Source organism: Homo sapiens, chromosome 5 (assembly GCF_000001405.40).
Source record: "Homo sapiens chromosome 5, GRCh38.p14 Primary Assembly".
Classification (NCBI taxonomy): domain Eukaryota; kingdom Metazoa; phylum Chordata; class Mammalia; order Primates; family Hominidae; genus Homo; species Homo sapiens.
The window spans coordinates 171939502-171956422 of NC_000005.10; the positions used below are offsets into that span (position 1 = coordinate 171939502).

Genomic DNA, 16921 nt, shown 5'->3' on the forward strand with positions numbered 1-16921 from the left:
GCCTGTGCAACATGCCAAGACCCCGTCTCTAAGAAAAATGACAAAAATTAACAGGGCATGGTGACATGTGCCTGTAGTCCCAGCTATTTAGGAGGCTGAGTGGGGAGGATCACTTGATCCCAGGAGTGGAGGCTGCAGTGAGCTGAGATCGTGCCACCGCACTCCAACCTGGGCTACACAGCAAGACCCTGTCTCAAAAAAAAAAAAAAAAAAAAAAGAAAGAAAGAAAGAAAACTGTAAAGAATCTTTAGTATGGCTAGTGTTAGTACATGTATTTTTCAGTGATGTTTGCAAGGCGTGTCATCCCTCAGTGTCATCCTCAGGCATCAGTTTCAGGATACACACACTCTTCCCGCTATGGATATCAAAATCGACTGGTGCTCAAATTCCTTATATAAAGTGGAATAGTATTTGCATGTAACCTAAGCACATCCTCTCATATACTTTAAATCTCTATAGACTACTTATAATTCCAAAAAAAAGTAAAAGCTATGTAAATAGTTGTTCTACTGTATTTTTATTTGTATTATTTTTTACTGTTATATTATTATTTTTATTGGTTTTTCTCCCAAATATTTTCAATCCTAGGTTGATTGAATCCATGGAATGCGGAGGGCCCACTGTAATTCTAAAACTACTTGATATGCATTCTGGGGTTGAGCAAGTGAGTAAATATATTGTGGAAAACCGGAGTCAGGTTTCTCACTGTTAGAGAAGCGAGTACTAAATATGAAAAGGGTTTCCTTCTGGAAGGCTAGAATGAGATCTGTGAGACTAGACTAGAATTGGATATATCAGTATGGACTCACAGTTTCTAATACATAGAACAAGGAGGGAAGTATTTTTATATAGACAAAAAATTATACATACATTTCCTAACACAGTTGGCTGAGAGGGCCTAGAAGCAATGACATTCCAGTAGCACTAAGCACACTTGCCACCCAGATCTAATACCATTCCTCAGTGAAAGGAAACAAGGCTCTTCGGAGAAATGGCTGGTTCCAAGGCTGAGAGTGGGAAAATACAAGATAAGCCTGGAACATGTTGCAACAGAAAATAAGGAAGTACTTAAACAATTATGAGAACAGATCAAAAGGATACAGACAGGCTGGGTGCGGTGGCTCATGTCTGTAATCCCGGCACTTTGGGAGGCCAAGGCAGGCGAATCAAGAGGTCAGGAGTTCGAGACCAGCCTGACCAACACAGTGAAACCCCGTCTGTACTAAAAATACAAAAATTAGCCAGGCGTGGTAGCACACGCCTATAATCCCACTACTCAGGAGGCTGAGGCAGGAGAATCCCTTGAACCTGGGAGATGGAGGTTGCAGTGAGCCGAGATTGCACCACTGCACTCCAGCCTGGCGACAGAGCAAGACTCCGTCTCAAAAAAAAAAAGATACAGACGCTGACCTGAAAAGGCACCCACTGCCTAAACTTTAAACACTCTGACCATCGAAATAAATAATGATAATAAAAGATTAAAATAACGTACTGAATAAAATAGGAAAATATAGGTGTATACTGATAGAATAAATGAAAAACTGAAATTCTGATGAAAACAGGATATTTGTGGAGTTTCAAAGTACCTCCCCACCCAATGCATAATTACAAAGGGAAAAAGAATAACTTTACAATGAAGAAGGCTTGATAGACATTTCCTTACTCAAGTGATCTAAGTGATCACCATTCTGAATGAGAGAAATCAATATTATGTACTACCTGAGAGGATGCAATGAGAAAACAGAAATCGCTTTTATGATATTCATTTAAACTAAATCTAACCATAAGGAAACAAAGGACAAACCTAAAGTGACAGACTATGAAACAGCTGGTCTGTAATCTTCAGAAGTGTCAAGGTCGTGGAAGTCCCGCAAAGACCAAATAACTCTTCCAGACTGAAAAAAACTAAAGAAGTGTGACAACTAAAGGCAATGCATCATTCTGAACTGGGTAGCTCTGCTATAAAGGAAATTATCAGGACCTCTGATGAAACTTAAATAAGGGCTGAGAATTAGTTGGCAGTAACCTGTCAGTGCTAATTTACCGATTTGATTCTCGTATTATGACTATGTAGAACATCCTCCTTTGTAGGAAATACACAGTAAAATATTACAGCATGAGAGAAGCATTCGGTCAGCTTTACTTTCAAATTGAGAAACAAAAGGTTCTGTGTGTTATACTAATAACTTTTCTATAAGCTTGAGACTGTCTCAAAATAAATAAAAAGCAATATTTCAATGGCTTGTTTACATTAATTATTACCTAACACTTCAAACTATGAGCTCATATCCCCAGGAATAAAGGTGCTAAAAATCCTTTGTGACTTTTAGGTTGGGAAAGACGCATGAACCTGTAGTGTCAGTCAGTGCTAGTTTGAGAATATTTGTTCATTAAGATCATGTGATTAAAATGTGGTGGTAAAAAAGTCACAAAGGATTTTTAGCACACTTATTCCTGGGGATATGAGCTCATAGTTTGAAGTGTTAGGTAATAATTAATGTAAACAAGCCATTGAAATATTGCTTTTTATTTATTTTGAGATAGTCTCAAGCTTATAGAAAAGTTATTAGTATAACACACAGAACCTTTTGTTTCTCAATTTGAAAGTAAAGCTGACCGAATGCTTCTCTCATGCTGTAATATTTTACTGTGTATTTCCTACAAAGGAGGATGTTCTACATAGTCATAATACGAGAATCAAATCGGTAAATTAGCACTGACAGGTTACTGCCAACTAATTCTCAGCCCTTATTTAAGTTTCATCAGAGGTCCTGATAATTTCCTTTATAGCAGAGCTACCCAGTTCAGAATGATGCATTGCCTTTAGTTGTCACACTTCTTTAGTTTTTTTCAGTCTGGAAGAGTTATTTGGTCTTTGCGGGACTTCCACGACCTTGACACTTCTGAAGATTACAGACCAGCTGTTTCACAGTCTGTCAATTTAGGTTTGTTCTTTGTTTCCTTATGGTTAGATTTAGTTTAAATGAATATCATAAAAGCGATTGCTGTTTTCTCATTGCTATTGTGACAGCTACCACCTGTAATCCTAACACTTTGGGAGGCCAAAGCAGGCAGATCACTTGAGCCCAGGAGTTTAAGACCAGCCTGGGCAACACAGTGAAACCCCGTCTCTACAAAAAAATCCAAAAACACTAGCCAGGCGTGGTAGCACACACCTGTAGTCCAGTTGCTCAGAAGGCTGAGGTAGGACGATCACCTGAGCCCAGGAGGTTGAGGCTGCAGTGGGCAGTGATCACACCACCGTACTCTGGCCTGGGTGACAGAGTAAGGCCCTATCTCAAAAATTAATTAATTAATCAATTAAATTTTTTAAATTTAATTAAAAATAAATTATTATTTTTAAAAATAAGGGGTTCATCCATCTATCTCTTTTCTGTGAACTCTACCAGATGCCCTGGGCAATGTTTCTTTTGACAGTCTTTTTCTTTCAAATTAGGTGACAGTTTCTTCCTATCTACTATCATCAGAGCTACCATTACTTTAACCCTCAATTTTTCATTTCTTATTGTCTTAAAGATGAAGGATTTAACATTTGCCTTCTACTCCAAATTAAGTAACTAAGATGCATCCTGTAATGTAAAGATTTTACAGGGATGCCAATAAGTGACTGTTGGTTTTCTAAAGAGAGGAACCTTCTTTATATTAGGGTAGACAGTGTTCATATGCAATCTGTCTACAACAATTGGCAGCTTGTTCTCTGCATGTAACATAAGGCATGGGACATAGTAGGACTCAGAACCATGGTACATAAATATGTCCAAGATATAAGAGTGATTCTGTTTTCTTAAGTAGTTTGTGAGTAACTCCATTCTAAGTGAATGATCTGAATTTTGAAATCTAGTTGTAGCAGCCAGGCAACTCAATGGCAGGCTGTTGTTAGGTGTTTGGACATCTCTTGACATCCTTTTCTTGGCCAAGCACAGCAGCACAGATCTTCTTTTTTAGTTTTTATTTTTAGACAGAGTCTCGCTCTGTCGCCAGGCTGGAGTGCAGTGGTGGGATCTCAGCTCACTGCAATCTCCACCTCCCAGGTTCAAGCGATTCTCCTGCCTCAGCCTCCCGAGTAGCTGGGATTACAGGCATGCGCCACCACACCCAGCTAATTTTTAGTAAAGACAGGGTTTCACCAAGTCGGACAGGATGGTCTCAATCTCCTGACCTCATGATCCGCCCGCCTCGGCCTCCCAAAGTGCTGCGATAACAGGCGTGAGCCACCGGGCATGGCCTAGATCTTGTTTTAGTAGGCCATGCCTTAGCTGACTCAACATATATTCAAACTGCTCAGGGGAAAGAGTTGCCACTTGTAAAGAGGTTTGAATTTAGAGCATGCTACTAAATTATACAGAGCAACAGGCTTGCTAAAGCTTTTCAAAATAAAAATGTTCAATCCTAGTGAAGGCATAATGAGACGTAAACACTCCGGGAAACAATTTGACAAGATATATATGATGTATCTCCTGGAAATATATCCTAGCTAATTCAAAATGAAGCCAAAGATTTACGCACAAAGATGGTGATTAGCTTTTTGGATAATTAAGAATAAAGACTCTAAGCACCCAAAGAAATGACAAGTTATGGAAAGTTCATAAAATATATAAGACAATGTCAAATTATGCTATGAGAAATTATAGGAATACATTAATACACTCATTCTATTAAGTATACAAAGCATAGAAAGTAAAATTATACATCTATTTATATGCATATAATAAATTATATATATAATAATCCCAACTATGTAAAACATATGCATAGATTTAAAAGTAAAAGAAGGCCGGGCGCTGTGGCTCACACCTGTAACCCAGCACTTTGGGAGGCCAAGGCAGGTGGATCACGAGGTCAGGAGATCAAGACCATCCTGGCTAACATGGTGAAACCCCATCTCTACTAAAAATACAAAAAATTAGCCGGACGAGGTGGCGGGCGCCTGTAGTCCCAGCTATGCGGGAGGCTGAGGCAGGAGAATGGCGTGAACCCCGGCAGGGCGGAGCCTGCAGTGAGCGGAGATCGCGCCACTGCACTCCAGCCTGGGCGACAGCGAGACTCCATCTCAAAAAAAAAAAAAAAAAAAACAACTAAAAGAAAACATGCCAAAAATATTAAGAATGGTACTCCATAAACTGTGGTTTCTCATTTTTCTTTCCACTTTTACCCCAATGGTCTATAATAAATAGTATTAATTTTACAATCAAAAGAGAACTTTTTAAAGCAAAACAAAATACAGTCTGATTTGAAGACTTTCAAATCAAAATCAGTTTTTTTCAAGATAATCTTTCAACTCACAGGAATACTTACATTCACAGAATTCAAAGAAAGAAGTCCAAAGTAGTCCTAACTATGACAGCAAATAATATTATACCAGATAATCCTAACCAAGCTTAGAAATAGCCTTTCCTTCACATTCCAGCTTATTATGCTTATTCTTCATTCAGTAAATAATTATTGAGCACCTACTACCTGCTGGGACTGTTTTAGAAACAGATGTGTTTACCAAGCAGTGAAAAAGAAGACATGACCCGTTTTCTCATAGAACTTGGATTCTGGTGGGGGAAAAGACAACAGACAGGAGGAAAACAAACAAACATGGAATATAATTTCATACAGTGCTAAGCACTATGAAGGAAAAAAATAAAGCAACATAAAATAACAGTGGAAAGCAGGAAGCTATTTTCAATTGGGTGGTCAGAAAAGGTCTCTCTGAAGAGGAGATATCTGATCATGCAAGCTACTGGTATAACAACATAAATAGCATTCCTATTGCGTAATTGACCTGGGATTTAGAAAAGTCTGTTTACAACTTAAAATATAAAAATCATCCCTATGAAAATAGTTTCTACTTTAAGAGGCAGTAAGGTATAATAGAACTAGAAAGACTAGGTTTGAATCGTGGCTCCACTACATAGAAGGTAGATACCCCTGTTTAGGTCACAAGCTCTCTCTCCCTCAGTTCAGTTTCCTCACATATAAAACAGACAGAATAGTGCCTAGCTTATAAAGTTTATAAAGTGAAGAAAGATAATATATGGGAAAGAGCTTAGTAACATGTTTAGGCATGTAGTACTCATTAACTGTAAGTTCCCTACATACTTATAGTTCTTCCACAAATTGAGCACTATATACTAATGGTTCTCTGCGAAGCACTCACTATTTCACTATTGCAAGTAGAAACGTATCACATTTTTATCTTCCAACCACACCGAGGCTCCAAAGTCCAAATCACCGCTGACTAAATTCTTGTTAGATATTGATGCTATAAATGATACTGGCTTAACAAGATTAATATTATTTTTACTAACCTCATACTCACCTTTTCTTTCATTTCATCATGAACTGTTTCCATTTTGAATCCCTAACTCCAAAGTGTGGCCTCCTTCCAATCTGCTTGTGATGGTTAATTTTATGTGTCAACTTGGCTAGACTAGGTTATATGGCCAGTTGTTTGGTCAAATACTAATCTATTAGCAGATATTGGTGTAAGGGTATTGTTAGGTATGATTAACATTTACAATCAGTAGACTTTGAGTCTATTACCCACCATAATGTAGGTAAGCCTCATCCAGTCAATTGAAGGCCTAAGAGAAAAGACTGGGGTTTCCCAGAGAAGGATAAATTTTGCCTCCAGGCTGCAACAGGGAAATCTTGCCTGAGCTTCCAGCCTAATGGCCTGTCTCATAACATTCAATCTTGCCAGCCCCCATGGTCATGTGAGTCAGTTTCCTAAAATATCTATCTACTATTGATTCTGTTTCTCTGGAGAACCCTGACTGACATGCTGATCAATCTTAGAGTTGGTCTCCCTGCTTCCGCCTCTTCTTTCTATGTCTACACAGCAGGTAGAGGGATCCTGTCAAGACATTCAATGACCCCTCTGGTAAAAATTCTCTAATGACTTCCCATCTCATGCAGAATAAAAGCCAAAGTCTACGAAACTCTAGAAGCCCCACAGAATTTCTATGACCTTCCTCCTTCCTTCCCTGATTTCATCTCCTACTACTTTCTCCCTCATTCCACATTCCAGCCAGACATTAGCCTTCTGGCTATTTTAACATGCCACAAACATTCCTACCTCTGGGGCTTGTTGTACACTTGCTGTTCCCTCTACCTGGGATTCTTTTCCTCCAGATAACTGCACAGCTTGCTCCCTCATTTCCTTCAAGTCTTTGCTCAAATGGCTTTCCCTCTTCGCTCTATTTAAAACTGAAGCCCTTCCCAAATCTTGGGGTGCTCTATTCCCCCCTTTTCTCCACAGAACATATTACTATCTAACATCCTGTGTACTTTACTTTTTTTTTTTTTTTTTTTTTTTTTTTGATACAGAGTCTCACTCTGTCGCCCAGGCTGGAGTGCAGTGGCGGGATCTCGGCTCACTGCAACCTCCACCTCCCGGGTTCAAGCAATTTTCCTGCCTCAGCCTCCCAAGTAGATGGGATTGCAGGTGCCTGCCACCACGCCTGGCTAATTTTTGTATTTTTAGTAGAGACAGAGTTCACCATGTTAGCCAGGCTGGTCTTGAACTCCTGCCCTCAAGTGATCTACCTGCCTTGGCCTCCCAAGGTGCTGGGATTACAGGCGTGAGCCACTGCACCTGGCCGTTTTACTCATTTTCTTTCACCACTAAAATGTAGGTTCTGAGACAACAAGGCTTTTTGTCTGTTTTGTGCACTCCTCTATTACCAGGCCCTATGCCTAACACATAGTAAGAACATCATAAGTCATTTGTTGCTTGAAGAAAAAACAAAAGAGTGAAGACTGATTTTTAATTTACTCTTTGTGTTTTCCTATATTTCCCAGTTTTCTACATTGGGCATTTATTTCTATTATAATCATACATTGCTGATGATATTAAAAACTAGAATAATGTTTTTGCTAGTAGATTAAAAGGCTTAAAGTCCAGGGCTGGGTGTGGTGGCCCACGCCTGTAATCTCAGGATTTTGCAAGGCCAAAGCGGGCAGACCACTTGAGCTCAGGAGTTCAAGACCCCAGTCCGGACAACATAGGGAGGCCCCATCTCAATTATTAAAAAAAAAAAAACAAGGTCCACTTCCTTTGACTCAGAATTTTTTCAGTGAATAAGATAATCTAAGGTATGAAGCATGAATGTACACTAAAGTTTAATGACCTTAATGTCCATTAATAAGAGACTGATTAAATTATTGTATACCCAGACAATGAAATTGCAGTTATTAAAAATGTACCAGCCTGGGGAACATAGGGAGACGCCATCTCTACAAAAAATTTAAAAATTAGCCAGGAGTGGCTGGTGTGTGTCTGTGGTCCCAGCTACTTGGGAGGCTGAGGTGAAAGGACTACTTGGGCCTGGGAGGTCGACGCTATAGTGAGCCATGTTCACACCACTGCACTCTAGCTTGGGCAACAGAATGAGACCCCGCCTAAAAAAATAGAAACTTTATTTTTAAAAATAAAAATGTAGGCCAGGCATGGTGGCTCACACCTATAATCCCAGCACTTTGGGAGGCCAAGGTGGGCGGATCACGGGGTCAGGAGTTCAAGACCAGCCTGGCCAACAGAGTGAAACCCCATCTCTACTAAAAATACAAAAAATTAGCTGGGCATGGTGGCACGTGCCTGTAATCCCAGCTACTAGGGAGGCTGAGGCAGGAGAATCGCTTGAATCCGGGAGGCAGAGGTTGCAGTGAGCCAAGATCATGCCACTGCACACCAGCCTGGGCGACAGAGTGAGACTCCAACTCAAAAAAAAAAAAAAAAAAAACTGGGTTATACTTCAGTGTATGGAGTATAAACCTATATAAAAACAAAAAGTATAGATAGATAAGCATATCTATATAGAAACAAAATGACAGAAAACAAAGAACAGATATTAAAGTGAAGTGAGATTATGATTGACTGGTTAATTTCTTCTTCATGCTTGTCCACTCTCTAAAATCTCTGCCATTAAAAAAAAAGTGTTACTAGCCAGGCATGGTGGCTCATGCCTATAATCTCAGCACTTTGGGAGGTAGAGGCAGGAAGATCACTTGAGCCCAGGAGTTCGAGACCAGTCTGGGCAACATAGGAAGATCCCATTTCTATTTAATTAAAAAACAACAACAACAACAAAAATCAAACAAAAAAAGTTATTTTCATAAACAGAATGAACAGTAAATATAAACCAACAGAAATAAATAAACCAAGCACTCTTACAAGCAACATAATAAATGTCTATAGTATCAGGTACATGACATTTTTGTTCAAGAATTAAAAAGACGTTTTTTAATGTGTTCTGAATTCCATTTACCCACGTCCCTATCCTCAAATTATACTGTGAAACCTTAATCTATCATACACATTGTTTTGGAAACCATAAATTACAACTGCTAGTAAGGCAAGGTATAGTTTTCATTCTCCCATAGCACAGGCTCTCTTCCAAAGGGAATGTGATTTCTTAGTGCTAGTACTATATGCAGGCATTGTGTTATCATTAAAACTTTCTCTAAAATATTAATTTATTTGCTGTTTTTCCTGCTGCTTCAAATTCTCAGATCACCAAGTCATCCTCACTGTTTTCAGAAAATATGACATGGAAATTTCAATGCATAGGAATAACGTTTGACACTAAACTTTCAAAGTCCATATCATCAGTAAGACACTTTCAAACTAGTACAACATATAAAAGACAGCATGATACAGTTGTGGATGATGAGCTTACAAAGGTTGATGGCTGATGATAATAATAGGAAGGTGAAGAAGAATAAAAGCTTGAAGAAGGCTTCGGTGACTTCACATCATTGGACACAAGGAAGTGAAACATGCGCATATGATATCAAATCAATGAAAAAACACTAGATCAGTAAATAGTATGCAGACAACTGATAGGTCATTCAGAAAGAATGTGCATCCCTAATTCACAGCATATAGGAAAATAAATTACAGAGAAAATGAAAGATTGCAAAGCACAATGCTATAAACCACTAGAAGAATATTATAAGAAAGGAACAAGTATAGCCACACAAAAAGTAAACATTTTTTCAAAACTTTCATCATGGCCAAAACCATTATTAAAAAACTGAAAGGCAAATGTCAAACTGGGAGAAGTATTTGCAATAAATAACAGTTAATATATTTAATATATAAAGAGTTCCTATAAATCAGATTTTTTAAATAAGGCCATCATTAGAAAAATGGAAAAAAGAACATGAAGAGGTAACTCATATAACAACCACAGAAATGGCCAATGAATATTTTTATGTATACATATATTCCAACCCATTAGCAATTAAATGTACATTATAACAAGATACCATTTCTGCATTTTCATCCATCAAAATCTCAACAAAGTACAAAATTAAAATATTCAATGTCATCTAGAGTATGAAAAGGGATCTCTGATGGGCTGCTTTTAAGAGTATAATTTTACCCAGCTTCTCAAAAGTACAAGTTAGCAACCTAAATGTGCACACTGTCTTACCTAAGAAAATAATCACAGAAGTATACAAAGACTTAATTACAATGATGCTTAACTCCACATGGCTTAAAATGTCTCAAAACTGGTAGCAGTCTTAATATGGAAGGGAAGTTTTCTTAAAATCATTAATATATTTATTAAATGGAATATTATACAATGATTTTAAATGATGATAGAAAATCTTAATTCATCATGTTACTATTTGCCAGTTTTTATTTATTGGTTTAACTTTGAACAAGTATGTTATTTTTAGTAATACTTTTAAAGTACACCTTAAACATTTTTAAATGATATTCAGGGGTTATGGCAATGCTTGGAATATAAATGGGTCTATCTTCCATGAAAGCAATTTAGCCATACCTATCAAAATAAAGCACTGTTCACTTTAAGATAAATCACTGAGCTGTACACACTTAAGATTTTTGAACTTTTCTATATACACTTTATACTTCAAAAATGGAAAGAAAAAAAAAAACACCTGTACTCTCGCCTCCACCCCTAAAATCTAGGGATGATAAAAGTACCATTCATGAAAGAGTTAGACTTTACTAATCTGGGGACATGTCTATAACATAATGTTAAATAAATAAAGCAAATAAGTGACCCCGTATTGTGATTTTTCTAGGGTGAGCCCATTTCCTCTATTCAAAAAAAAATGGCTGGGTGCGGTGGCTCATGCCTGTAATCCCAGCACTTTGGGAGGCTGAGGCGGGCAGACCACCTGAGGTCAGGAGTTCGAGAACAGCCTGGCCAACGTGGCAAAATCTCGTCTCCACTTAAAATACAAAAAATTAGCCAGGCGTGGTGGCGCACACCTGTCGTCCCACCTATTCAGGAGGCTGAGGCAGGAGGATCACTTGAACCTGGGAGGCAGAGGCTGCAATGAGCCCAGATCATGCCACTACACTCTAGCCTGGGTAACAGAGTTAGACTCGGTCTCAAAAAAATACATAAATAAATAATTTTTTTTTAATTTAAATGAGGGAATTCTGATAGTTGTCAGATTGCATACCCTCCTATGAACAAAGAAAACAAATATACAATGATAAAGAACAAAATGTTAACATTCGTTTCTTAGGGGGAAGGAAGGGATTAGAAGGGAGAGATTACTAAACTTTTCTGTATATAATTTAATTAAGTCATAATAAAATACTGATATTCCTTGACCAAGCAATTACACATACAAAATCGTACAAGCCTAAAGATACATATGCAATGAAATCACTGAAGTTCCTATAATACAACCCCCGCCACAAAAGACAAAAAAAAAATTGTAGTCTAAAGGCCCCTCAAAAGGAAAACTAGCCACCGGGATCAGTGGCTCACACCTGTAATCCCAACACTTTTGGGAGGCTGAATTGGGAGGATCACTTGAGACCAGAAGTTTGAGACCAGCCTGGGCAATATATCAAGACCCTGTCTGTACAAAAAACTGAAAAATTATCTGGGCGTGGTGGCACATGCCTGTGGTCCCAGCTACTCAGGAGGCTGAAGTGCGAGGGATCACTTGAGCTTGGGAGGTCAAGGTTGCAGTGAGCCATGATCCTACCACTGCACTCCAGCCTGGGCAACAGAGCAAGACCCAATCTCAAAAAAAGAGAGAGAGAAAAAAAGTGGCTATTTTTTTTTGAAAATAAAAAAATGCTAAAGCCCTGTGATGTAGCCTCCCGAGTAGCTGAGATTACAGGTGCATGCCACCATACCTGGCTAATTTTTGTATTTTTAGTAGAGACGGGGTTTCACCATGTTGGTGACCTCAGGTGATCCATTTGCCTGGGCCTCCCAAAGTGCTGGGATTACAGGTGTGAACCATCATGCCTGGCCTTTATTTTTAATTTCTTGAAGCTTGTTTAAAAATTTTTTAATGCTAGCATGAAACAGTGGTTTGTAAAACTTTGAGGCATTTTAGGTTTGCTTTTAAAATGCCCCAAGAAAAACAAAATTGAAGAAAAGTTGAACTAAGATTAGCATAATTTTGAAAACTGTTCAAGATTAAGTTGAATAATTCTCTTATTTTTGTGTGTTTAGCTATTTCTATAAGGAGAAAGTTTTTAAAATGAAATCTTCCTAAGAGCCCCATTAAGTAGAATAGATAAATCCAGAGCCATTCTAAGTGAGATCGAAGTAGGAGGCACACTGTGCTAGCCCCTCCTTTATCCCTCTAGTGACTCCAAAGTCAAGCTGGGGTTCCACAGGGCATTAAAAATACCACTGTTAAAATCAGCAGCAGCAGAATAACACTGCACAATTTGATGGATTCCTCCCTACCGAACAGACAGGAGGAAGTAAGGCCCTAAAATAGCAACAAATGTTCTCTCTGGGTGGTAGATGCTCACGCTACCAATGGACGTTTTCTTCTTTTTCAAAGTCTATTTCGTAAATTTTCTTATAAAGAGGAAAGATGTGGTTTTTTTTAACCATATATACATACACATATATGTGTGTGTATATGTGTGTGTGTGTTGTGTGTACATACATATATATATATATATATATATATATTTTTTTTTTTTTTTTTTTTTTTGAGACGGAGTCTCCCTCTGTCACCCAGGCTGGAGTGCAGTGGTACAATCTCGGCTCACTGCAGCCGCCACCTCCTGGGTTCAAGCAATTCTCCTGCCTCAGCCTCCCAAGTAGCTAGGATTACAGGCGCCCATCATCATGCCCAGCTACTTTTTGTATTTTTAGTAGAGACAGGGTTTCACCATGTTGGCCAGGCTGGTCTTGACCTGACCTCAAGTGATCCGCCCACCTCGGCCTCCCAAATTGCTGGGATTACTGGCGTGAGCCACCGCGCCCAGCCTATTTATATATTTTTTAGAGCAAACCCGTGGCCTGCAGGCCCCCAGGACGGCTTTGAATGAGGCCCAACACAAATTCGTAAACTTTCTTAAAATATTATGAGATTTTTTTTCTTTCGCAATTTTTTTTTTTAGCTCATCAGCTATCGTTAGTGTTAGTGTAATTTTATGTGTAGTCCAAGACAATTCTTCTTCCAATGTGGTCCAGGGAAGACAAAAGATTGGACACCCCTGTTTTAGAGACAAGGTTCTTGCTCTGTCACCCAGGCTGGAGTGCAGTGGTGTGATCATAGCTCACTGTAACCTCCAACTCCTGGGCTCAAGGGATTCCCCAACCTCAGCTCCCAGAGTAGCTAGGACTACAGGCACATGCCACCATGTCCACCTAATTTTTTATTTTGTTTTGTAGAGACAAAATACAAAAATAAAATGTTTGTAGGGCCTTGCTATGTTGCGAAGGCTGGTCTCAAACTCCTGCCCTCAAGCAATCCTCCCACCTGGGCCTCACAAAGCACTGGAATTATAGGGGTAAGCGACCATGCTCAGCCAAAAATGTAGGTTTTAGTGTCTATAAAATACTACAGATTCTACCACTGAGCAACCCAAAACGTTCACATTATCAGACCCAGAGTGCTATAGGATAATTAAGATAATCAACAAGAAATGACAAATCCCTAATGCTTATTAGAAAACAGACAAGAGGCAATGAATTCAAACAGCCATGTCTGACCTTAGACAGACCGACCCTGAACAAAAACAGCCTTATCATATGCATGGTCTTTTAGCTAATCCTTACCTAGCCCTGGAATCTAAGACTGAAATTCCTTCTTACATGGAGAACCAGGAGCAAGTAAATTTAAAAAATGGATTTCATACCCCCCAAGAGTAAGAATCAGTAAGAGGTGGCAATTATCTTTCTCTACCTCATAAAAACCCTTTATGATTTTTAAAGATGAGGAAACAGGGGTTCGGGAAAATAAAGTAACTTGCCCAGTATCACAAAGTCATTAAGTAGTAGGAACAGGACTAGAATAGAGGTTTGTCTGCACCAAAGCCAGGGTTCTTTCTACCAAGCTATCTCCCTCCTCTAAAAAATATTCTCTTATATCAAAAGCTATGATAAGTTCTGTGGCATTCTCAGACCACTGTGGCTCACTACACCTATTAAAAGTAAAAAAAGAAACAAGAAAGGCAGCTGTCAAGAAGTTGTGCTACTTACTGCCCAGCACTATATGCACTAGAGCTTGGAAGGAGGCACTCAAACTCAATTCACGTGATCCTCACTGTCATTCCAAGCAATCAGTCCTACCCCAGCAAAAGGCTTATCACTAACACTCTCCCCCAGCTGAGGCTGCAAATGACATTCCCAAGACAACTTGCCAGTCTATTACATCATGCTGCTGTGTTGGCTTTAAATTTTTAACTCCAAAAATTAAGGGGAATTTGTTTCAACCTAAAAATGGCAGTTGCAAGTTAAAATGGCAGTTGTCACTACAGACTGGTGACTAGAGCACTGGCTTTGCAGTCATCCAGATTATGTTCCTAACCCAGTTCTGCCACTTAAATAAATGTGTAACCTTAGGCAGGTCAATTCACCTCTATAATTTCATATACAAAAATGGCAAGGTAGATAACTTTTCCATAAAAGATCAAATGAGATAATCCAATTCCTAGAGTCCAACACATAGAAAGAACGTGGAAAATAAATGATACATACTATTATTAACATTGGTATGATTCTCATGCCACAGGAATCTGGGCAAATCAATAATCCACATGGTCTGAATTCCTGATTATTTGCTATAACAATCAACTGGTTGAATCAGGACATCTGAGGCAAATGAAACACTGACTCAGTTCAGCTTGGTTGAGAGATAACCAATAGAGGCCCTGGCACATACCAATTGCTCAGTAAATATTTATGGAATTAAGTTTGCAGAAAGTCCACTCAGGAACCTCACTAGCTGTAAGATTCAGGAGGGCTCATTTTGGCAAAAAGAATGGCAACTTTTTTTTTCTACAGAATTTGGCAGGTTTTTCTTTTCTTATTTTCAAATAATATTAATAACTAAACAAACCATATACCAGGTGTCAATAGTGAGGTTTCTACAAATAAAACCAACATGGAAAACTACAAAAGCAGCATTCCAGAGTAGAGGAAAGAAAACCAGTTTGGGAATCAGGCAAGTGTGTGATTCATATGCCAGTAACTTTACAGTTATGTAAACATTATCTTGGGCCAAATAGTCACGTCAGACTCAGTTTCCATATCAGAAAATTGGAGATAAGAACACCTACTTCACAGGGTTGTCATAAAGCTAATATATGTGAAGCACCATGTAACAGTTGGTAATGAGTGATTTTTAAGTCTCTGATACCTGTTTTCCCTTCTAGACGATGGTAGAAACTTCCGGAATGGGTAAATTATGCCTAAGGGCAACTACTATCTTCCCTCCGGCTTTTTCGAAAGGTAAACTAAAATTCAGCCATATAGACAGGTCAATGGGCTCAAGTTGCAATTATCAGTGGGTCCACTCTGACAATTTTAAGGGGGACTCTTTCATGGAACTTCAGAGACCAGGAAAGAACCAGGCTCTGTTCTCTCCAGGTAGCCTAACTATTCCTTCCCTTCTCAGGCCTGCTCTAATATGAGGTTGCTAAAAGGTGTGCAAAGGAAGAGTCATCTTTGCAATAAACCAAAGATGCAGCATATAAGCAACAGGCCTTCTTTGAGAGCCCAAACCCAAATTAAGGCACGAAATTTTAGCACTGTTTGGAGACTGGAGGTAAAGGGGAGAAATGTTGGCATTAAAATAATACTTAAATGAGTACAGAGGAAGGAAGTCTTCCAGGCTCATTAATATTAATACATGTTTACTTTCCATTCACATGTGGGACAAAACAGAGTAATGATTTGCTAATGCCAATGAGCTGAGTACTTAGTTCATTTTACTATGCTGCATACCCTCAATTATATACTAGCAAAAATTAAACCTAAGTAAACAGAATACTCTACACGTCTCTAAAGACAATATTGCTCCACTCACTGAAATAAGACCCAATCAAGGCAAAAAAAAAAAAATCTTTTTTTCCTTCTTAAGTGAATTTCACTAAGAAAGATGAGTCAAGGAACTTTTAACAAATTTGGATTTCCATTTTCAACAAGGTAGGAACCCGTGTACCTCCTCCCACTCACCCCACCTCCAGAGAACTCACAATACTGTTACTAAAATATATTGAATGATGCCTTCCATTGGCCAATTACTTTTAACTGAATGCAATAAAAAGAATCCGCACTTCAAGACCTCACTAACAACTACAATTTTTCCCCCTCTTAAATTTCCAGTTCTGGAAAAAACTCGGTCAGCCCACTAAAAAGCAACTGTAACATTCCTTTTAATCCAGAAAAATAGAGACAAAAATACACCTATTATAATACACCTATTATACACCTATTATAATAACGCAAATATCCATTATACAGCATCAAGGAGAGCACATGCAATAATGGCTGCCATTCCAAGAACATTTTTGTTAAAAGTTACATCGCATGCACAGAAGCTGCTTTTCCAAAAGTAAACATATATTCATTACACTGAGCCTCACTGAAGCATCCTGTTCTTGTAAGGTGAGACTTGTAACCCACCTTTATATACAGAATCTAAAGACAACTGG

General features: G+C 38.6%; 1 protein-coding gene across 11 annotated transcripts in view, besides 1 other annotated feature; it reads right to left on the bottom strand.

The window, feature by feature from the left end:
* Window positions 1–16921, bottom strand: part of FBXW11 (F-box and WD repeat domain containing 11) — a 145090-nt gene that overhangs the window by 77953 nt on the left and 50216 nt on the right. The gene's annotated exons all lie outside the window — the stretch shown is intronic.
* Window positions 4048–4547: an enhancer, noted in NCBI's record as "H3K4me1 hESC enhancer chr5:171370553-171371052 (GRCh37/hg19 assembly coordinates)". NCBI's record gives its function as "activates a minimal SCP1, AML or CMV promoter by ChIP-STARR-seq in primed H9 embryonic stem cells {active_cell/tissue: H9 hESC(primed)}" and the evidence as "EXISTENCE:reporter gene assay evidence [ECO:0000049][PMID:30033119]".